This window comes from Homo sapiens, chromosome 11, assembly GCF_000001405.40.
Source record: "Homo sapiens chromosome 11, GRCh38.p14 Primary Assembly".
In the NCBI taxonomy this organism is placed as follows: Eukaryota; Metazoa; Chordata; class Mammalia; order Primates; family Hominidae; genus Homo; species Homo sapiens.
In genome coordinates, this window is record NC_000011.10 from 100,045,512 (window position 1) to 100,069,406 (window position 23,895).

The 23,895-nt window shown below is 33.4% G+C and overlaps 1 protein-coding gene and 1 long non-coding RNA gene across 13 annotated transcripts in view; one reads left to right on the forward strand and one right to left on the reverse strand.

Moving 5' to 3' along the window:
• The window catches only part of CNTN5 (contactin 5), a 1,337,937-nt gene that overhangs the window by 1,024,563 nt on the left and 289,479 nt on the right, over positions 1-23,895 (forward strand). For all 12 annotated transcript variants that reach the window (XM_017017926.2, NM_014361.4, XM_011542871.2 and 9 more), the window contains one exon: positions 15,701-15,882. In XM_017017926.2, the coding sequence (XP_016873415.1) occupies positions 15,701-15,882 (182 nt within the window). The remainder of the gene's footprint in view (positions 1-15,700; positions 15,883-23,895) is intronic.
• Positions 5,740-23,895, reverse strand: part of LOC105369456 (uncharacterized) — a 54,991-nt gene continuing 36,835 nt past the window's right edge. The window contains exons 2-3 of the long non-coding RNA XR_947948.3: positions 9,885-10,019; positions 5,740-9,515 (exon numbers count right to left, since the gene is read on the reverse strand). This is a non-coding gene — a long non-coding RNA (uncharacterized LOC105369456). The remainder of the gene's footprint in view (positions 9,516-9,884; positions 10,020-23,895) is intronic.

A 23,895-nucleotide genomic window follows, 5' to 3' on the forward strand; every position in this document is an offset into this window, starting at 1 on the left:
CAAGAAGTAGTTATCCTCATATGAAAGAATTAAGTTTTCTTTTCAGTGGGACTTGTCTAATGCTTTAACTATTTTTGCATAAACAACTGGCAAAAATATAAGGCTGACAAAAAGAAGTCATTTTCTCTCCAAAATGAGACTGGAAACCAGTGGTCGGTGGGAAAACACATACTGACTACCTAAATTCTTTTAGATGTACATTTATTATTAAAAAAAAAAAAAAGAGTTCTGCTAGAAATCTACTAGAGATGCCATCACACAAACAAATGGTAATTATAAAGTCTGATGATGACAAAATGAATTTTAAAAGAAATTTAAATGTTAAAATAAGATTTATTCGCCCACCAAAATTGATAATTGAAAAAGGATGACAGTTATCTCTGAGAACACCTGAGCAATGAAGAAAGACATCAAACACTTTTTTTCCTGTTATTAACATCTTTTATTTTATTTTATTATTATTATACTTTAAGTTAGGGTACATGTGCACAATGTGCAGGTTAGTTACATATGTATACATGGGCCATGCTGGTGTGCTGCACCCATTAACTCACTCATAGGTGGGAATTGAACAATGAGAACACATGGACACAGGAAGGGGAACATCACACTCTGGGGACTGTTGTGGAGTTGGGGGAGGGGGGAGGGATAGCTTTAGGAGATATACCTAATGCTAAATGATGAGTTAATGGGTGCATCAAACACTTTTGGTCTATACTGTTTTGATGTAATATCTGATTAATAGAAAAAACAATTATGAATCCAGCAACCAACTGGAGAACTAAAACAGTACCAAGAGTAACAATAATTTTGAAGCTCACTGCATGATATTCTCCAATCCCATCTGCCTGTATTCTCTCAAGAGGAAACCAACAGCCTGAAATATGTGTTCATAATCTTTGTGATTTAAGACAATTATGTTATGATGCATAGATATATATTTTAACATACATTCTTTATTTTTCTTCTTTTTTTAACATTGCTAAGATTGCATTATGACATATGTAGTTATTTGTGATTTGCTTTTTTTCTTCAATCTTTGTTTTTAAGATTTCTCCATAGTGTTCAAGGTAATTGTAATTTATTTATTTTATCTAATAAATAATCATCTAATGTGTATACATATAAAACATATGTATTCATTATTCTATTATCAGACTTTGGATTGTTACCAGATTAATTTTTCCCCTATTAAAACAATTTTGGACTGCCACTAATAAGCATGGCAGGGTAGTTTGTACCATATTAGGCCTCAATTGTAGACTATGAAAAAAAATGAATAAAATATATGGAACAGTTGTTGTCATATATTGGATAACAGGCATTGCAGGAATGTGATCCCTCAGAGAATAAAAAACAGTGAAGTTAACCATTATCCTAGTGTTTTTCCAGGAATTTTTTTTTATCAGAAACTGACCCAGATAGGAGAAATCCAAGATGATCACAAGTTTCATAGAGCTGAAAGGACAGAGAGGGAGATCAGTGAAGCTGAGGTGACTGAAATTTATAGGGCAAGTAACAGGAATAGAGGAGTTACACAAAGAACAACTTCCAGACATCTGCATTAGGATCTCATTGAATATATGAACAAATACCAAGCTATGAGTGTACAGGGCGGAAAAACTAAGAAAAACTAGTAGAGAAGGAACAAAAAAAACAGAAAACCTGAAAACCAACAAAGAGCCAGATATTGAACTGGGTTGGGAAATCTTCAAACTCCAGTTAACCACATAAAACCTCTTTGAACACCATGGTTCACTCAGTAGAGAGTGAAAAAAAGACCAGGTCACAGGGGTAGGGTTAATCTAGTTCTAAAATAAAGACTATTTTTAACTCACCCTAAAAAAGATTACAAACAAGTTTTACAAGGATTAAACTAAACCACAAATAAATTAGCTGCATGCCAGAAAAAAATTTGCCAATGATTAAAGGACAAAAACAAAATTCAGAGACCTGATAATGTGAAGCCTCTAATAAAAATTGGTAGAAATGTGAAGAAACTACAACAAAAAGAATATATGGACTATAAACAGGAGATAAATCAGTCAATAAAACATTCCCAGAAATATCAGAAATGTTGGAATAAACAAAGTATTTTGTGGCAGCTCTTAATATGTTTAGTCATTGTGATGGTTAATTTTAGATGTCAACTTGATTGAAATCAGGGATACCCAGATAGCTTATAAAGCATAATTTTTGGGTTTCTCTGTGACAGTGTTTCTAGAAGAGATTGTCACTTGAATCAGTAGATTGAGTAAGGAAGATTTACCCTCATCAGTGTGAGAGGACATTATCTAATCCATTGAGGACACAGATAGAATTTTTATAAAGAAAAAAGAGGCCTGAGGCGGTGGTTCACGCTGTAATCCCAGCAATTTGGGAGGCCGAGGCGGGCAGATCACCAAGTCAGGAGATGGAGACCATCCTGGCTAACACGATGAAACTCTGTCTCTACTAAAAATACAAAAAATTAGCCCAGCGTGGTGGCGGGCACCTGTAGTCCCAGCTACTGGGGGTGCTGAGGCAGGAGAATGGCATGAATCCCGAGGGCGGAGCTTGCAGTGAGTCGAGATCGCGCCACTGTACTCCAGCCTGGGTGACAGAGCGAGACTCCATCTCTCAAAAAAAATAAAAAGAAGGTTGAATTTGCACTCTTTTCTGGAGCTGGGACATCCGTCTTCTCCTACCATCAGACATTAGAACTAAAGTTTCTTGGGCCTTTAGACTTGAGGGCTTACATCAGTGGCCCCCAATTTCTCAAACTTTCAACTTCAAATAAAGTTACATCCTCAGATCCCCCAGGTTCTTCTTTGGACTCAGACTGGATTACATCAAAAGCTTTCCTGGTTCTTCAGTTTGAAGACAGCATGTTGTGGGACTTCTCAACCTCTATAATTGTGTGAGCCAATTCCCATAATAAATACATATATGTATAAATCTATCTCTTGTTGATTCTGTTTCCCTGGAGAACTCTAATACAGTCATTTAAAGGAAAACATCAATATAATCAAGAGAGAAATAGAAGTTATCTTTATGAAAGTTTTAGAATAAAAAAAGTGAAAAAATGTACTAGATTGGATTTACAGTGGATTAGACACTGCAGAAGAAAAGATCAATGAATTTGAACATAGAGCATTACAAACTGTAAAATATACTAGATAAAGAGAAGTAAAATGGAATTATAGGTATTGCTTTATGGAACAATTAGCTACATAACGTATATCAAGGTTTAGTCTCAGAAGATAGGGATAGAACAAAAATATTTTGAAGAGTATAAAAATATATTATCTGTATTGTTGTAAAACTTAACCCTACAGATCTCCAACGCTCAATGAAATATAAACAGGGTAAAAACAAAGAAAAATGTGGGAAGATACAACATAAACTAATTGATGAAAAACAAAAATAAAAGGAGAATCTTAAATAGTTCACTTGGAGTTATGTATCCAGTGAAAATATTCTTCAAAAAATTAAATACATTTATTCTTTTAAAAATAAAGACATTTTTAGCTAAAATAATTTGCTGCAGGAGAAAACACCACAAGAAATGTTAAGGAAAATTATTTAGATTGCAGGAAATGTAATACTGTTTTAAAACTCCACAAAAAAAGAGCAAGAAATGTTTTTTTAAAATATATGTGTACATATAAAGTATATTTGCTGTTTTTAATTTCTAAAATTTTCTATTTCCACTTGTTTTGTAAAGAAAAAATATAATAATGTGTTAGAGGGTTTGTAAAGTATGTAGAAATAATGTGTATGAAAAGAATGGCACAAAGGGTAGGAAGGAGAACCGGTAAGCATAATATTGTCAGATTCATATCGCAAACTTTAAAATAATCAAACACATAGCACAAAAAACAAAAGGCTGTATTAAATAAACTAGTATAAGACTAAAATGAAATACTAAAAACTAATAAAAATAAGACAAGAGGAAAAAAGATATGAAAACTGATGGGATAGACAGAAAATGTATATTATAATGCTAGACTTAAACCCAACCACAGGTAATTATATTAAATGTAAATTCACAAACTAAACCAAAGAAAAACATTGTCAGACTAGGTTGAAAACACCAAAAGCAACGGCAACAAAAGCCAGAATTGACAAATGGGATCTAATTAAACTAAAGAGCTTCTGCACAGCAAAAGAAACTACCATCAGATTGAACAGGCAACCTACAAAATGGGAGAAAATTTTCACAACCTACTCACCTGACAAAGGGCTAATATCCAGAATCTACAATGAACTCCAACAAATTTACAAGAAAAATACAAACAACCCCATCAAAAAGTGGGCAAAGGACATGAACAGACACTTCTCAAAAGAAGACATTTATGCAGCCAAAAAACACATGAAAAAATGCTCACCATCACTGGCCGTCAGAGAAATGCAAATCAAAACCACAATGAGATACCATCTCACACCAGTTAGAATGGCAATCATTAAAAAGTCAGGAAACAACAGGTGCTGGAGAGGATGTGGAGAAACAGGAACACTTTTACACTCTTAGTGGGACTGTAAACTAGTTCAACCATTGTGGAAGTCAGTGTGGCGATTCCTCAGGGATCTAGAACTAGAAATACCATTTGACCCAGCCATCCCATTACTGGCTATATACCCAAAGGACTATAAATCATGCTGCTATAAAGACACATGCACACGTATGTTTATTGTGGCACTATTCACAATAGCAAAGAATTGGAACCAACCCAAATGTCCAACAGTGATAGACTGGATTAAGAAAATGTGGCACATATACACCATGGAATACAGTGCAGCCATAAAAAATGATGAGTTCATGTCCTTTGTAGGGACATGGATGAAATTGGAAATCATCATTCTCAATAAACTATCACAAGAACAAAAAACCAAACACCGCATATTCTCACTCATAGGTGGGAATTGAACAATGAGAACACATGGACACAGGAAGGGGAACATCACACTCTGGGGACTGTTGTGGGGTGGGGAGAGGGGGGAGGGATAGCTTTAGGAGATATACCTAATGCTAAATGACGAGTTAATGGGTGCAGCACACCAGCATGGCACATGTGTACATATGTAACTAACCTGCACATTGTGCACTTGTACCCTAAAACTTAAAGTATAATAATAATAAAATAAAAAAAAGAAATGAGAAAAAAAAGACCTTATAATATACTATCTGCAAGAAAGCAACTTTAAAAATGATTTTTTATATATGAAGATATATATGTTAAAAGCAGAAAGATTAAAAACGTGTACCATGCAAATACTCATCATAGGAATGTTGAAGAGAGTATCTTAATATCAAAGTATAATGTAGCACAGAGTGTTGCCTAAGATAAGGATGAACATTTTATGATAATAAAAAGATTAACTTTTCAAGAAGACATTCAAATCCAAAATGTATATGCACCTAGTAACAGAGCTTTACAATGTATGAAGCAAAAGTTGACAGTACTTAACAGGAAATTGATATTTTACTATAATAGTTGGAGATTTTAACACTCTTCTCTAGTAATTTATCAATTACAAGAACAGCAGGACAGAAAATCAGTAAATAACCTTATTCTCCAGTAATTTATCAATTATAAGAAGAACAAGAAGACAGAAAATCAGTAAAGTACAGAAGACATGAACACAGCTATTAACCAACTTGACCTAATTGATATTTAAAGAACTCTACCAACCAACAGCAGAATACACTTATCTGCACATGGAATATTCACCAAGATAAATTATGTGTTGGGCCGTAAAACAAGTCTTACCCCTAAAAAAGACTAAAAACGAAGAGCGTATGCTCTCTAATTGCAACAAAATTAAATTATGTATCAATAACAAAAGAATACTTTAAAAATCACCAAATATTTAGAAATTCAAAACACACATCTAAATAACAAAATGATCAAGAGGAAATCACAAAAGAAAGTAGAAAATATTTTTAACTGAATAATAATGAAAACACAACATGTGTGTGATATAGTTAAAGCAATACTTAATGGTAAATTTTTGTCATTTAAAAGGGAAAATTCAAAATTTAATGATCTAAACTTCTACCTTAAACAAATGGAAAATGAAATTAATTTAAGATGAAAGATAGTAGAAGAAAAGAAAGATTAAGTAGTAGATATCAGTTAAATTAAAAATGGACAGATAATAAGGAAAAAGTAAAACTCAAATCTCATTTTTAGAAAATATTAATAAAACTGATACACATCAAAAACAAGAGATAAAATTTAACCAATATCAATCATGAAAGAGGAAACATCACTACGTCTCTATCCTAAAACATTTAAAGTACAGGAAGGCAATGTTAACTGACAACATTTAATTTTACAACTAGGTCAAATAAAAAAGCTCCTTAAAATAAATAATTCTTATAACTGGCACAAGTAGAAACAGAAAATATGAATTTTTCCATATCTATCAGTGAAATTAAATTTGTAATTAAAAACCCTTATACTATAAAAAATTGAGTCCCAGTTAGTTTCGTTGATGAATTCTATCAAACATGTAAAGAAGAAATTATATAACGTGGCCAACCAACTTGGATTTATCTCAGGAATGTACAGTGTTTTAACTATTAAAAAGCAATTTATATAATTAGTCACATGAATGGGATAAAAGAAAATAATCTTACATCATCTTAGTAAATACAGAAAATGCATATAACAAAATCCATTATACACGATGAAACTGTCAAATATGTAGGATTAGAGGGAAACTTTCTCATCTAGGAAAAATACACCTACAAAAAGTCAATATTCAGCATCGTAATGGTAAGAGACTAAAATATTTCCCCTTTCCTTTTATCACCACCTCTGTTCCACACTTAACGGGAGACCTGGACAGTATAGTCAGGCATTAAAAATAATAATTATGGCTTTGAGATGGAAAAGGAAGGAATAAACCTGCCTCTGATTGGAGGTGGCATAAATGTGTATGTGTATTTTCAAGAATCTACAACAAAAACCCTAAAATTAATATTTAGGGATAAACTAAACAAAATACGCAGAAGACCTGTACACTGAGAATTTGCATAACATTTATGAGAGAAATAAAAGAATACCAAAATAAGGAGATATACCGTGTTCATGGAATACAAGACTCAATAGTGTTCAGAAGTCAATTCTCTCACAGTTGATATATGTATTAAATATTATCCAGTCAAAATCCTAGCCTGCTTCTACTTTTGTGAAATTTAGCAAGCTACTTCTGAAACTTACATGAAATTCAAAGCATATGAAATAGCCAAAGGTAGAAAAAGAAACAAACTTAGAAGACTTGCACTACTTAATTTAAAGATTTACTCAATATTTATTCTAAAAGTAATGATAATCAAGAAAATGAGACATTGGCATAAAGATAGGCTTATAGATTAATGCAACAGAAGAAAGCTCAGAAATTTACCTGCCTTCTAAAGTCCATCAAAAAAATGCCACTTTATTCAATAGGGAAAGGGTAATATTTTGAATAAGTAGTGCTGAAACAAATGGATATCACTGTTAAATAAGTTGATCCTTTAACCATATCCTGTACCATAAACAGCAAATAAACTTAAATTGGATCATAGCCCTAAATGTAAATCTCTGTATTCTGTATAGATTTCTACATACCTAAATGTAAATCTATGTATTTTCTATGTATTCTACAAATACATAGAACAATATCTCACTTTTTACTTTCTGGAGTCAGAAAATACTTCTTAAGACAGAAAACGAAAAACCACTAAGAAAACAATAAGATTAAAAGAACTTCATCAAAATTAAAACCTGCTTTTGTCAAAAGACAATGGTAAGAAAATAAAAAGGCAAGCTCAGATTGGAAGAAAATATGTGCAATATATATTTGATAAAGAACTTGTATCCAGTATGAACTAATAATTCTTACATTTAATGCTGGGAAGGAAAAAATGCAACATAAAAAATGAACCAAAGATTTGAGTATGCGAATGGCTAATAAAAACATCCAAAGTAGCTCCAAGTTGTTAGTCATCAGGCAATATAAATTGAAACCACACTTTAGTATCACTACAGTACTACAAAAATGACTAAAATTAAATGATTGACAATACCAAGTATTTTCAAAGATGTAGAACAACTGGAAATTTCCTACACTGTTGGTAGACATGTTAAATTATACAGGTACAATGGAAAAATAGTCTGGTAAGTACTTATACAGTTGAACATTTACTTACCGTACATTCTAGAATTTCTATGCTTTTTACTTACCCCAAAGAATTAAAAATGTGTGTTCACAAATACTTGTATAAAGTTTTATTCATAATAGCCTAAAACTGAAAACCAAATGTCCAACAGTCAGCAGGCGTCTGGATAAACAAACTGTAGCATATCCATATATCGATATACTCCTCGGCGATTAAAAGGAATTAACTACCGATGTGCACAACAACTTAAATGAATCTTATAAATCTTACACAGAGAGACAGAAGACATACTCAAAATACTACGTAGTGTATTATTCAATTTACATAAAAGTATAAAACTGGTGAAAGTGTTCCTAAATTATGGACATCAGCTCATTGATTGCCTGGGACATGGGTGAAATAATTGGGAAGAGATATGAGGAAGAACTTGGGGTTTATAAAAAATGTTCTATATCCTAATTTTCCTGATTGTTCTCATGGTAAAGGCAAGGGTCCAAGAGTGAGAGCAGCACAAAAGAATTAAAGCTACAATATAGTGGCCAAAGCAAATCATAAGGCAAGCCATACTCAAAGCATGGGTTAAGAGACTCCATTTTCTAATGGTAAGATGTGCAAAGTTACCCAGTGAAGGATGTGAATACAGGCAGTGATGGAGAATTAAGAACAGTTTTTCAATTAATCTGCTATACTGACCAAGGTCCCACATTTTGCATTCTTTCTATTTTCATTTATTCTCCCAACAACCTAACCAGTATTTTCCTGAGCTCATGTCTTTCTTCTAATAATTCGATGAATGTAGCTAGTAATAATCACACATTTTTAACGTTCTGTCTTGTAACTCCTTTTCTAGGTTTAGAAGCGTTTCAGATTACCTTTCTAAGCTCTCAAGGATGACAGTTTTACCAAATGTTTTCCGCTGCATAGCATGACACTTCATCTCCTCATTCTCCAGTATGCATTCGTTTCCATCTTCATCCTCACTGTCATGGAAATTCCAAATATTTACTGTGTTGTTCTGTCAGTTACCCGTTTTCATTTTTATGTATTAAGTTCTATATTAGTAAGATAATGCTAGAAGGCATAAAAAAGAAACCCTAGAAAGTCTGGAGCTTAGCAAGGTATACATTTATATCTCATTCATGTAACATCTGACAGAATGTTATTAGTTAGCATTGGTGAGGTAACAATTTTGTACTTTTCTCTACACAGTCGTTTAGAAACTCAGTCCTGCTATTTTCAACTTGTTACTTACAAATTTATTCTGGGTATTGATATCAAACTGCCCAACAAAAGAGTAGAGAGTCATAGATTTTTAAAAACAATTCTTCTATACTTGATTGCCAGAAATCATCATAGCCGTAGCCTAAAAAAAAAAAAAAAAAAAAAAAGGCAAATGTATGTCCAGGAGACCAAAAAAACAAAAAGGATTTTGGAAAGAGATGAGGTTTCCAGCCTTTGCTATATACCTCATTTGTTTGTAAAATTATACTCGTCTTTTCTACTATTTTATGATTTTGTCATTAATTTCAGTATTTATTTCTAAAGTCAGAAGCTCATCGATATCTTAACCATCTTCCTCCCCAAAATGAAAGAACTTCAGGACACATTAGCTTATGACTTCTTTTTTTTCATTACATGCTCTTTTTGATCAGTATTTTAGTACTGTCCCTTTTTATACACACACATTATTTTTATTGCTGTTGCTATTACTATTATTTGTGTTTTTTCTTACCACTTCTTGCATCTTAAACTTTCTTTCTGGAGTCATTATTCTCCTTCTTGAAGTGTATATCCTTTAGTAATGGTTTATTGGTGAAAAACTTGTTCAATATTTGTAGATTTGATATCTTTATCTCCTTTTTCACTCCTAAAGAAAAATTTACAGGATACAAAATTATTAGTTTATAGGTGCTTTTACTCTCTTTTCCGCTATATTGAACATAATTGTTCCAACATCTTTTCCTGCTTCCATTGCTGCTGTTGAAAAGCCAGTAGACATGCTAATCATTGTTATTTTGTAAATTATCTGTCTCCCTCTCTGGCTACTTTTAATATATGTCATAGGTGTTCTGTGGCTTTAGTCATGCTTTGTATATATTGTATTTCCTGTGCTTATGGATTCATGTCCTTCATTTTAGGAAAATTGTATGCTGAATACTTTTCAGATATTACATAGTCTTCTCTCTCTCTCTCTTGCTCTCACTCTCTCTTAACTCTATCTCTATATCTATTATCTTAGATTGGACTTACACCCTCTAGCTTTATACTACATGTCTACTAACTGATGCCCATATTTATGTATTTTCTGTCTCCCTTCCTCTCAGTGCCTCATTCTGTATATGAAGCTGTAATCTATCTATCACTTTTGGAAATATTCTCTTCAACTATGTCTAATTTGATGTATAACCCAGCCATTGAGCTTTACGTTTATGTGATTATATTTTTGTCTTTAAATGTCTATTTTATTTTTAATCTGAATATTTACTTTTATTGTCATATCTTCCTTGATCATTTTTAACCCATGACTATTTTTACTCCAAGTTTTATTGCTGTGAACGTTCAATATGAAGTTATGTGCTGTTCTGTATTTTGTGATTCTGGGATAACTGAATAAGAACAATTTAATAAATTGGAGCAACAAAATCAAAAAGTAAAATTCCACTATCAAAATACGCAGATTACCAAATATAGCTTTTAAGTCAAAAATTAAATCTAACCATTTGCCATTTAGAGGAAATTAGATTAAAACAAAGTGACATACCATGAAAAAAAAAAGCTAAAAATAATAGGATAAATAGACAATGAGCGTGAGGTTAATGGAGTGTTTCTTAAAAGGATAACTTAAAGCAAAAATTAGAAAGAGGGCCATTGTATTTGGTAAAGGATAATTACAACTCTAAAAATAATAATAACTTTTATGAACAGGTATTTTCAGAGAGAAAATTCATCAAAACACAAAATAAAACTTATATAAGAAGATACTGGTAGTAATGATAGTAGTGGGAAATTAACACACCTATCTCAGTCTGACAGATCAGTGAAGATGAAAATAAAGAGGACATAGAGTAGTAGTTTTCTGGGGAGTGAGGGGAGGAGTGAGCAGACTCCAGGACCCTTTTTCCTGCTTCAAGCAGAATACTTTGCATCTATTGATATGGGTTATTTTAGTGTACAAGGATTCCATAGGAGGTAAACTGTTCTGAAATTATTAAAAACATGAAAGCAATATCTGAATGACAACTAACAAAAGCTATATAAAAACTAATTTTTAAACTTTTATCATAAATAAAATATACTTTTTTCCCAATAACATGGAACTTGTACCAAAAATTAATTCTGTATGCAAAGATTCTCAGCAGGTTCCTGAAAGTAGAAAGTGTATATCACTCTGTGTATCAATACGTATCATATGTGGCCATACGTTTGATGTCAGCATAAAAGATAGTCATATGATTTTATTATTAATCATGAATAATAATTATACTGATCATTCAGCTCAAAAAGTTAAAGTATAATAGGAATTATATATAAAGTATAAATATATACATTATATATAAAGTATAAGTATATACATTATAAAGTATAAATATATAAATATATATAAAGTATAAGAGGAATTAGTAAATTTAAAAACAGAAACTCATGAATTACAACAAAAAAGTAATAAAAACTTAAAATGCTTATTTTAGAGACCAATAAAATAGACAAACTTCTGTCATAGTCAATCATTTAAAACTTATTATATCTATCATTTATTGGGTGCTTACAATATGCCATGTATTTTACTAAGTAATTTATAATAATTTATCTCACTTAATCTTCAAAATAGTATTTTGACAATCATTCATTCACTTATTTCATAAGCATTTATTAACAATATACCAAACATATGAGGCACTGGGGACATACTGCTTTAACAAAATTCCACTGCCCTAAAGATATTTGCATTTTGGAGGAATAAACAAATATCTTCATTTTACAGATGAGAAACAAAATTTAGAGAACTTAGGCAAATTTCCCGAGGTCACCATAGCATCTTTGTGCCCAAATCATATTAGAACCCAGGTTTCTCTGAAGGTCCGTGCTCCTAACCAATATGTAGTGTTATTTCTGTGGGGGAAAATACAGAAAACATATATTCATACCATATAAATTATAAAGAATATGCAAGGAGCATCATTATATTATTGTAAACTAGGGTTTTTTGCCTGCTACTTTGTGCCAGGCTGTTTAAATCTTTCAAGATTCACAACTACTCTCTGACATAAGTCGTAATATTTCCACCATACGTTACAATTGAGAAACCTAAAGAAATGAAATGTTAAGTTACTTGTAGTTGCAGAGCTACCTCTATACCCAGTCAGTCTGGCTGCAGAACCTACACTTAACTACTAGAATATGTAACCAGCTGTGATTAAGACTGTTTTAAACTAAACAATTACAATTTATATAACTTGCTGCTAAAACATTGAAATTATAGATAAAATAGTTGGTTTTCTAGTGAAATGTGAATTGCCAAAGTTGGCATAAGCAGAAATTTAAACAATACAATCAAGGAAAACACAGTCAAAAAACTAACTCCACTGACGGTGGCAGACCCAGGTAACTTTGTGAGAATCCTATCAGTATATGAAGGCAAATATAATTTCCCTACAATTTAAGTTGATACAGAATACAGAAAATAGGAATATTCTGGCTTGTTTACCAAGCAGTCACTCACCATTATGCTACTGCATCTGTCAAAGTTATCCATAAACAAACCATGAACTCACCAACGAATAAGCTCACAAACAACCTTAATAAGCTACAGACAATCTCACCTCTGAATATATGCAAAAATTCTAGGATCTATTAAAAGAATAATATGTCAGACTCATATAAAGGATATTCCAAAATGCAAGGTTCATCCTTTCTGGACATTGAATACATGCACCTACACCAACAAGCAAAAATTGCCAACTCCTTCATCCAGCAACTTCAATTTTATGTTTTATTCCTAAGGAATAAAGCAGAAAGGTATTCGAAGATACGTAAGGATGTTTATCATAATGTCACTTATAATGGAGAACATTGCTATCACTCCTTAGGAAAAAATAATAGGAAAACATCTTACACTTAACGGTTATAATCTATGGTAGACTGTTACAAGAGACATAAGTAAGATACACAAAGCATTTTGTTATTTAAAAGAAAAAATTCTAGCTGGCTACACAAATTAGGACTTTGCTGAAGAGGAGGCATTTAGGACAGGTCTCAGAGGATGAGTAGCATTTTAGCAGATATGATTGGAAACACAGACGGATGTGTTTCTGGGTCAGGAGATCCAGAAAGAAGTAGTGAGAAATCAAACTGAAAAAGTCGACTGGGTCCAAAGCATGAAGTGTATTAAATATAAATAGTACTAAATAAATCAGTGGAACAGAATTGAGAAGCCTGAAGCAGATTCACATATGTGGGAACAAATTATATGACAAAAGCAACATTTTAAATATTGTGGGACACGGAGTTTTACTTATTTAATGATGCTGAAATAATCACTTACATTCCCTATGTCACATCAATAAACAAATATAGTCCAGTTGGGTGAGAGATCCAAACATTTTAAAATGATACAAAATGCTACCAAATACTTCAGAAAATACGGACAAACTTAGGTTTATAGATAATTTTCTAAACACACAAAAAATCGGAAGTCAGGAAGGAAACTATAGACGTGTTTTCTTCTCGCCAAAAATGATTATAAAATTGTATTACAGGCACCATCATAAACTAACAATACACTGGGGAAGAATAGTTCTATGGCCCTAAAACACAAAGAACTCTAAGAAATTAACACAAATAAGCGAATAAAGCAAGCAAAATAATAAAAAAAACATAAGCAAACATTTCACAGAAATGCAAATGCAAATGGCCAATAAAATCATGAAAAGATGTTCAACCTCCTTAGGGTTCAGGAAAATATTAAGCAATAAAATACCATTTTTTGCCCTATAAATACTAACAAAGCTTCAAGCAGATTGATCAAATGCGATGCTGGCAAAGATATAGGGAAACAGTATCACATATTACCAATAGGTAGGGAAACTGCTTGTATATTATTGAAAAACAATTTGGCAGTACTTATTAAAATGGAAAATGTGCATGTCCTTTGATCCATCAGTCCTGCTTTTGTGAATGACTGCTACAGAAAATAGAATAGTACGTGAAATATGTGCAAGGTTATTTATAGCAGCATTGATTTTTAATGATTAAAAAAAGAAAAATGCCGGGCATGCTGGCTCATGCCTGTAATCCCAGCACTTTGGGAGGCCTAGGCGGGCAGATCACTTGAAGTCAGGAGTTCGAAAACAGCCTTGCCGACATGATGAAACACCATCTCTACTAAAAACGCAAAAATGAGCCGGGCATGGTGGCAGCACACCTGTAATCCCAGCTACTTGGGAAACTGAGGCAGGAGAATTGCTTCCGAGAGGTGCAGGTTGCAGTGAGCTGAGATCGTGCCACTGCACTCGAGCCTTGGCGAAAGAGCAAGACTCTGTCCCAAAAAATATTAAAAAAAAAAAAAAAAGAAAAACCTCCGCTGCTTTCAATGTTTACCTAAAAGGGGGCAGTTGATTAAGCTGGTACATCTATACAATGAAATAATTTGCAACTATTAAGCAGAATAAGTCAGGCTAATTATTGAATATGATCATTAAATAATAAAATAGCAAATATACAAAATTTATATTTAAAAAATAACAAAACAGAAATATTACATGTGTGAACATATGCTTCACGGAGATGAAGTGGGAGATTATGTGTAAACTGTATTTGCTATTTGGCCAGAAAATAAGATTTGCAGTGTTGGAGGCAGGACAAGTTTTAATTTACTTAATTCCTAACCCTTTGGTTTGACTCATTGCAATAAGCACATATATGTTAGTAATTTTGCCAAGTTACTGTTGTCATTTACAAAAACATAACAATTTTTTTTCTTTTTTTTTTTTTTTTAAGATGGAGTTTGGCTTTTGTTGCCCAGGCTGGAGTGCAGTGGCGCGATCTCGGCTCACTGCAACCTCCGCTTTCCGGTTTCAAGCGATTCTCCTGCCTCAGCCTCCAGAATAGCTGGGATTATAGGCGCCCACCACCATGCCTGGCTAATTTTTGTATTTTTTAGTAGAGATGGGGTTTCACCATGTTGCCCAGGCTGGTCTCGAACTCCTGACTTAAGGTGATCTGCCCGCCTTGGCCTCCCAAAGTGCTGGGATTACAGGTGTGAGCCACTGCACCTGGCTAACAATGTTTTTAAAAATAAATCATAATTGGTTACAACTTATATTGTCTTTTAATTGCTTTCCTGAAATATGAAAGAAAAGGAAATTCTTTTTATAATCTACTTCCCAGACAACCCACGTGGAAAGTGAAATATATCAACCAGCACATGGTCCTTAATTGTGATTACATTTTATTGCACTCAGCCTATTAAGTGCTTAAATTACCAGATAACAGAATCTATGTTCCTAACAGTGGAGAGTGTATTAACAGTATTTTTGTTCCCTATCGTAGCCCCGTTCCAACAATCACATGGATGAAGGTTAATGGTTATATTCCTAGTAAGGCACGTCTGCGGAAATCTCAGGCGGTGCTGGAAATACCGAATGTACAGCTGGATGATGCAGGCATTTATGAGTGCAGAGCTGAAAACTCACGTGGAAAAAATTCCTTTCGTGGACAATTACAAGTATACAGTAAGTGTTTTCAGCAAAGCATGATTGCTCTAGTCCCAAAAGTCAAACTGAAAGTGGAAATTAACTTTAACTAAATATTGTTTGTTAGGTACATAAAAACCAAGTAATAATTTATAATCATACTTCATTCGTATGGTAAGGCATCATGTCAAATTACCCTATACATAGAAATGATTTAAATTATAAATGAATGGGGAATTATCGGTGTCTTTGTACAGCATACAGAACTTACGTCCTTAAAAATGAGCTATTTCCCTGGCACCAGCACTATACTCTGACAAGTTAAAAATCTTGGAAAACTTATTAACTTATTCTACAACTTGGCCAGAATCAGAGGTTCCAATCTAGTGTCCATCAACGAGATCCTGCCCAGGTGCCATTTTTTGTAAATGATGTTGGAACAAAGTCACACCCACTTGTTTACATATCACCTGTCAGTTTTTGCCTGGCAATGGCAGAATTAAATAGAGACAGAGACCAGCTGACTTGCAAAGACTGAAATATTTGCTTTTGAGCATTTTTCAGAATAAGTTTGCTGACCTGTGGCCTAAATTAATACATCTGTATGATAAATAGCCCCTACAGCCTGCAAGTGTTTATATTGTCCAAAAATGCCAGTCAACCAGGTTGTGTCTAAGAATTAGGAAAATCTCGTTCAAAAGTTTTTACAATCTCATCTTTACTTCTAAAGTTCAAAGTTGTTTGTACTTTTCATATTTGATTTACAGTATATATATAATGGGTAAGTTAGGGTATTCTCATTTTCTAGGTGAGGACACTAAAAAGAGAAGCAATAGGCTAGAGCATTGAAATAAGCAAATATAGATGCTTTGAATATATAGTTATCCAAATTTCATATTGGCTGTTTCCTCCAGGAAACCATGACTGTCCCTGTATCTCAAGATCAGTTCCAAAAGCTTAATGCCCTTTACAGGAACTCCTAAAGAGTATTTTGAAATATTAATAACTGAATTCAACCAGTCTTTCTTCATCTTTAACAACTCCTTTAGGAATTTAGCATTCTAACCAAATTGATTATGCATTGCACATTTTATCCATTCATTCATTGATACAGTTAATGTTTGTTAAGTGCCTCGTACTGCTCTACATGCCAGCAATAGAGCCTTGAAGTAACTCATGATCCACTGGACTAGAGGAAAAGCAAACTCCACATTAGAGTGGAGCATTCTGTGTGCAGTGATAAAGGCATGTGAAGAGGACTGTGGGAATGCAGAGTCTACTGCATTCTACTCAGAGGAGTCAGGAAAAGCTTTAGAGAGGATTGGTAACTTAAGAGCTAAACAGGGGAGAGCATCTGGAAGAAAAGGACATAGACATTTAAATGTTTCTAAGATTGAAATATTAGTAGTGGTTTGATTGTTTTTAGGCCATGAATATTTGGATGAAATCCACAAAGTTTATAACTGTTCATAATTCATAAAACAAATCATTAAGACAACGCTCTCTAGCCATAGGGAAAAGTTTTTTTCTGTACCCCAGTGGAGCAAAGATTAATGTTAAAATACACGTTCATTTTATTCTCACACCAACAGTTTGAAGTATTACCATCCCTCTGTACAGATAAAAATCTGATACTGAAAGACAAGTGTTGAACCGGAACTTTACTACTGAAAATCACAAATAATGTAAAGCATGCCTGTTACTCTGAAGGCTATCAGAGGAAAGTACGAATTCTCTGTGTTCGAAGAATGGCCCACACCTAAATAGAATTAGATTGTATGTTCTAGGGACTGAGGCTCCTACATAGCATGACTCTACTTACTCCTCCCTTAACCCCAGCTACTTAATTCATAGGTAATGATGACTGTTTCCAGAAATGTAAAAAAAAAAATTGCTTTCACTCCTTATTACTGGTGTACATTCTAGTGAGAAAGTGCTACTTAAACAATCTGGGGTGTCGTTGTCATGCACTGTAGGCCATCTGGGTAAAGACAAACCTACCCAAAGCGTGCATCACTTTGAATAGAAAAAAAAAAAAATCTAGATTGTTCCTTAGAAAGAGAAACTGGGCTGGCTGGCTACTTGGCATATATTTGTGACAGGTGTGGAATATATCTTGAAAGCATGTGAACTCTTTCTTCAGCCCATGTTTAGGGTAGCTTTCTACCAGGCTCCATCAGGAGGCCATACACCTTGCTTTGCCCTAGAAAATCCCACTTTACATCTGCTGCCCTATGACAATTATGAAGAGTGTCCTATTTCACTTCTAAAAGTATCTTGGTAACTAGGTGTAGTGGCTCAGACCTGAAAATTCCAACACTTTGGGAGGCCATAGCAGCTGAACCTGTCTCTAAAAAAAAAAAAAAAAAAAAAATACAAAAAATTATCTGAGCATGGCGTTGCACTCCTGTGGTCCCAAATACTCAGAAGCCTGAGGTGGGAGAATCACCTGAACCCAGAAAGTCAACGCTGCGGTGAACCATTATAGTGCCTCTGTATTCCAGCCTGGGTTAGACCCTGTCTTAAAAAATATTACAAATAAAAAATAAAAGTATGTCGGTTATCATGTATTCATCCAACTTTTGTACTTTTAAAACTGTCATGTTAGACATGAGGGCTTTCCTCCCCATCAAACTCTGTAAAGTGTAGATAGGATTCAGTCATTTCCACCTGACTGGCAGTAGATATGGATAGCATGATGAATGGATGTTTCACTGTCTCATGGTTTATATTTAGAATATTCTCTCAATAGAATGAATTACTGTAGGAAGCTCTGTAATTGGGATTCTATCTGTTAGAAGTACAGACTACCCATTTTATCCAAACAGTCAGTATTCATGTAGTACTGAAAACAATGGTAGCACATTGTTTTTGAAAGTACAATTGCAAGAATACTTATGCTTAGCTATTAGTTTCAAAAAATGAACCAGGGATCTAAGGCAGCATTTCTAGTCCCTTTTCTTGGTCAAAGCATTATAAAAGTGCTATATAGATAGTACACATAAGTTTAAGCTGCAGATTTTACTGTTTTTAATTCAGTATCTACATTGTAAACATAAAACAACAAATGATACAACATCAAGAAGTCCATGGTAGTTAAATTAAAGTTAAGATACACTTACATGTCTAATATAACATAAATAGGTCTTAAAAGTAATACTCATAAAAAAGAAATAAAACTTGGAAAAATTAAAATACTAAGTTTTGGAAATAATTTGAACCTTAGCATAAACTGCATAAATATTCTATTTGGTATGCCTTTCTTGATAATAGGATTTTCATGGGTTAAGTCATTTCTTTGGCTATTTCTGTCCCCTCTAGTTTCTGACGATTGATGAAAAAGACCTGGTTTTAACTCATCATATAAAATTTTGTTTCTATAGTTCTAATGCAAGTTGAACTCTTGCTTGGTAAAGTTCTCAATTAAAAGGAAAAGAAATAAATGACAAAATGACAAAAGAAATGCAGAACAAAGTAAGGAGAAAAGGGGTAACTGAAGGGGGAAAGATGGAGGCAGGAAGGACAAACATCATTTAAGCAGTTTTATAAGGAGTTCTCAAAATGGGAAATATTTTATGTACACAAAAATCTCATTATATAAAGATGTGTGATCTGTGAGTTTAAATGTGTATCATGTGCGTCACCAACTAGTAACTTGTCACTCTATAAAGACGGTCACTATGACCTCTAGACAGTTTATATTTACTATTTCAACTAGAATTGTATCAGTATTAAAATATTCCTTTATCCAGAACGCTTAAAAGTTAGTTGTACTGTACTAAATATCCAGTAAAGGAATACAGTTTCATTTTCAGTGTAGAGTGGTATTATAGATTTCCTTATCTTCATAAAACCTCTGGACAGTATCCTCACAAATGTTAATCGCTTCTATCGTCTGCAATTTGATTGTAAGCTCTTTCAAAATAGTCTACTTTTTTTTTCATCCAGCCCTGTGAATTCTGTTCAGCACACAGTGGATAATTTTTATTATGATTCTATACTGTTATAAAGATGAATGCTTAGGTATGCACATCATTTTATAATGTCCACTATGAAAAATAGATGAGAGTCAGGAAAGACTAAGGAACTAATGAAGGGAACTAATAATCACCAAGAGCTTACCTTCTAGACATTACTACGAGGTGCTTTACATACATTAACTCACAATAACCCTTAGGTCTTAAGATTCCCATTTGACAGACAAGAAACTAGACCTCAAAATATTAAGGAACTTATTACCCCAGGACCCATTAATAACAAATAGTAGAACCAGAATCCAACTGAAACTGGCAGTGACACCAGGATTCAAATCCTACCTCCACCCCCAAGGATAGCATGCTACTTCTCAGTGAGACACTGAGAACCTGAACTAAGGCATGAGATGAGAATGGCATCGAGAGCAGATAATTTCTACTTTCTATATACTATAGTTAACATTTTATTAATGTTACAGAAAACTGTATGATATATTAAAATCCTTGCCATTAGTTTTTGTTCTTTTTTCTTTTCTTCAAAATACTGTTTATGTACGTTAGGTCTGATCTTTAAAGATGTTTTAGCTGTTAAAGTATATTAAATATTTACTCTAGGAAATGATATAAAATTGTTGATTCCTGGTTAATAATTTCATACCTAAAGACAGTTTTCAATCCTGTTTTATGGAGAAAAAATTCTTGCCTTGAATTCTACTGTTATTATGAAAGTGATGCCATATGTATATTCACAGTTGCTAGAAAACACATGGGCAATGGATTGGGGGGAAAGTAACCAATATATATTATCTTCTATCATCATGGTAGCTCATTGAAATAGGAATTACTATCTACAGCTTACAGCTGAGACTCATTACAGTTAAATAACTCATTCTCAGCGACATAATAGAGCAAGGGCATGGTAGCACTAGAATTTGAACCCATATTCATCCCCAACTGTATAATCTCTCCAATATAACACATTACCTCTCATTGGCCTACAGCTGAGAGTCATAATACTGAAAGTGATCTATGCGGATAAAATATGTTGACTCCTCAATACATAAGAGTACAGAAGCAACAAAAGAGGCCAATAACACTTAGCATTTATCAGTAGAGAGTTACAGAATTTCTAATGACAAGAGATAATAAGCAAGAGTTTTCTTTATGCACATCTGCTTAGCATTTTATAAAATGTAACCCAGAGACTGATCTGAAGCTGAAATGTATTACATAAGTACGGTGCATCTGGTGAGGCTTTAACAGCTCCTGGGTTTAAAGTGCCATATGTCTCTTCAGTTTTCCACATCCTAAAATAGGTGGCTTGACAAAAGCTAGATTTTAAAAAGTTATTAGGTTTGTTTTAAATGTGGCCCAACCTGTGATTTTTCTTTCCCAGACAGATGAAAGACTTTCCATAATGCAGACCACGTCTTGGCATCTGCTCACCCCATGTTATTATTCAGAAGCCAAAGCCAATGCCCTTTAGTTACTTGCAGTCCTCTGCCAAAAAAAAAAAAAAAAAGTTTAAATGTAACCTTTTATGTTTCTGATTTTATGTTACCAGTAATTTTGTTGTTTTTGTAAGAATCTTGCAAGTACTGTACTGTCTTTTTCAGATTACAGCCTAAGACAAATTATTTCAGGCCTTAATTCAGTTTTTAATGTTTTATTTTAAAAATTTTACCACTGCCCTTTCACATAATGTTTTTTGCCTCGGACCATATAGTATAGACCTAGTGGTTTATAAAATATCTTGCAATGTAAACAAGAAATCTGTTGTAGAAGTCAAGCTGATCTAGTATTGAACATAACCTACATTTTCCATGTATTTTGTGAAGGATAGCCATTCATAAATTCCCATAGCCTTAATGTTAATTAATGTTTATTCAATTATGACATTAAATTTATTTTTCTAATGTAGAGCTTAACTTCATTGTAACACAATCTACAACCCAAATTCCACTTGTGTGTGTGTCTGTGTGCATGTTTGTGTGTGTATGTTTATGCGTTTGTGTGCTTGTGTATGTATTTGTTTGGACTTGCTTGAAAGCTTTTATATCAAGTCAATTAACAAGCAGGCTATATATACTAACTGCATATGGCATCTTAAGCAGCCAAGTGACATCACCAAGTTATGCCATTTCAGGATTTTTTTTTTTTTTGCTATTATGCAACATAGAGATAAAGCTACAGAAGTATAGCTCTTACACATAACAACATAGTTTGGTACAAAAGATTCACACACAAGGTACAGTGTTCAAAGCAACAAAATATGAAATGACATCTGTCTTTTATCTGCCAATAATTGACATACTGATAGCATTTTTTCAATTTTGAGGGCAGTGTAACAGGCCACTTTTACTTGTAGAATTCTTGGTAGAATGAATTTGAATAACATTTTAATGGCCTTTCACCCACTAGAGTTTGAGCTTACAGCAAACAGATATGATAGCACATTTATGTTCGTATCTTCAGAGTAAGCATTTTACCTATAATGGTATCCAAAAAAAAAATCTAAAGAAAGGAAGGAAAAAATTAATTCATATTTGTATTAATGTCATTAATCATATGTTTGATTCCTATGAAAAATTTGTTTTGGAATCAGGACTCTAAATTTTTTCTTCCAATTTCTAATGGATTGTTTTCTCAGATGTCAAATCTGTTTTTATTTAAATATTTTAACTGTTCTTTCTTTCCTAGCTCTTCATTTCTGTAACTTTTAAAAATCTCTTTTGAAGTTATTTTAAAGGCTACAGTCATGGTACATTTAGAGATAGATCAATAAGTCTAACAAATACAATCAGTTATTATAGGTAGGACACTGTTTCGCCTAACATTAAGTTTAGAATCATCTCTACTCTTAATGATCTCACTGTCTAGCTGAGTGTCAAATTCTAACCAACTAAAATATTAAATAACAATTTAAGTCAGCAACAGAAGAGAGGTAACAAGCTACGACATGAATATTTTCCAAACGAATAAGAACTACAGGTGTCCAGAGGAGGTGCACATGACTCTTCTTTGAGGCTGTGATTAATACCTCTTACTTAATTTAGAATAAACACTGAATCGTGAGTAGAATTAAAAGAGACAGAATAGAAGTAGAACACTCTATGTAGAGTGAACAGTTTAAATAAAATACAGTGTGTGCTTGGGAGATAACACACCAGTTTATCTGGCTTACAGGAGTCATGCATAGTGTAAAGTATCCTGGCAGATTAGTAAAGTTTACAGAAAAGCCAGATGTAAAAGTAGAGTTTAATATTGTTTGTGTATCTCATCACTCCTATCAGCATTTTAGCATATATGACACATAACTACAAAGAGATGATTTCCGAAGGCAGGTACAAAAATCATGATGAATATTTGAAACTCACTATGGTAAAGATTTTTGAATGATAGCTTGCAGGCTTAGAAGCTGAATCACAGAATGTATTCCAAGGTCTACAAATCCTGACTATGCTATGCCAAAGTGGGGCTTCTAAAGTCTAGACTATATTGGCCAGAAGACCAGTAAGCTAATAAAAGCAAAATTCCCTCTTAGAAACAAGTAACTAACTTTGTGACCTTGGGTAAATTTCTTTAACCTCTTTGAGTCAAAATCTGATTCATAAAATAGGACATGTTTGTTTGAAGGATGAATGTTACAGGGATTAATTGAGAATTTGGCTCAGTGTCTAGGACATGGTAATGACTAGCACTAGCATTTAATAAATGTGAGTTCTTTCTTGCTCTTTCTCCTCCCTGCTAAACTGGCTTTGGTTTCGGACATCTGCTACTCCGTTATACCCACTATTCTGACATGCATGTGTAGTTTTCTTTATTTTTTATTTTTCTTTTTTGAGACAGGTTCTCACTCTGTCACCCAAAGTGGAATGCAATAGCATGATCACGGCTCAGTGCAGCTTCAACCTCCCATGATCAAACAGTCCTCCTGCCTCAACCTTCCAAGTGGCTGGACCGATAGGCATGTGCCACCACACCTGAATAATTTTTTTTTTTTTATTTTTAGTAGAGACAAGGTCTCACCATGTTGCCCGAGCTGGGAACTCCCAGGCTAAAGTAATCCCTCTGCCTT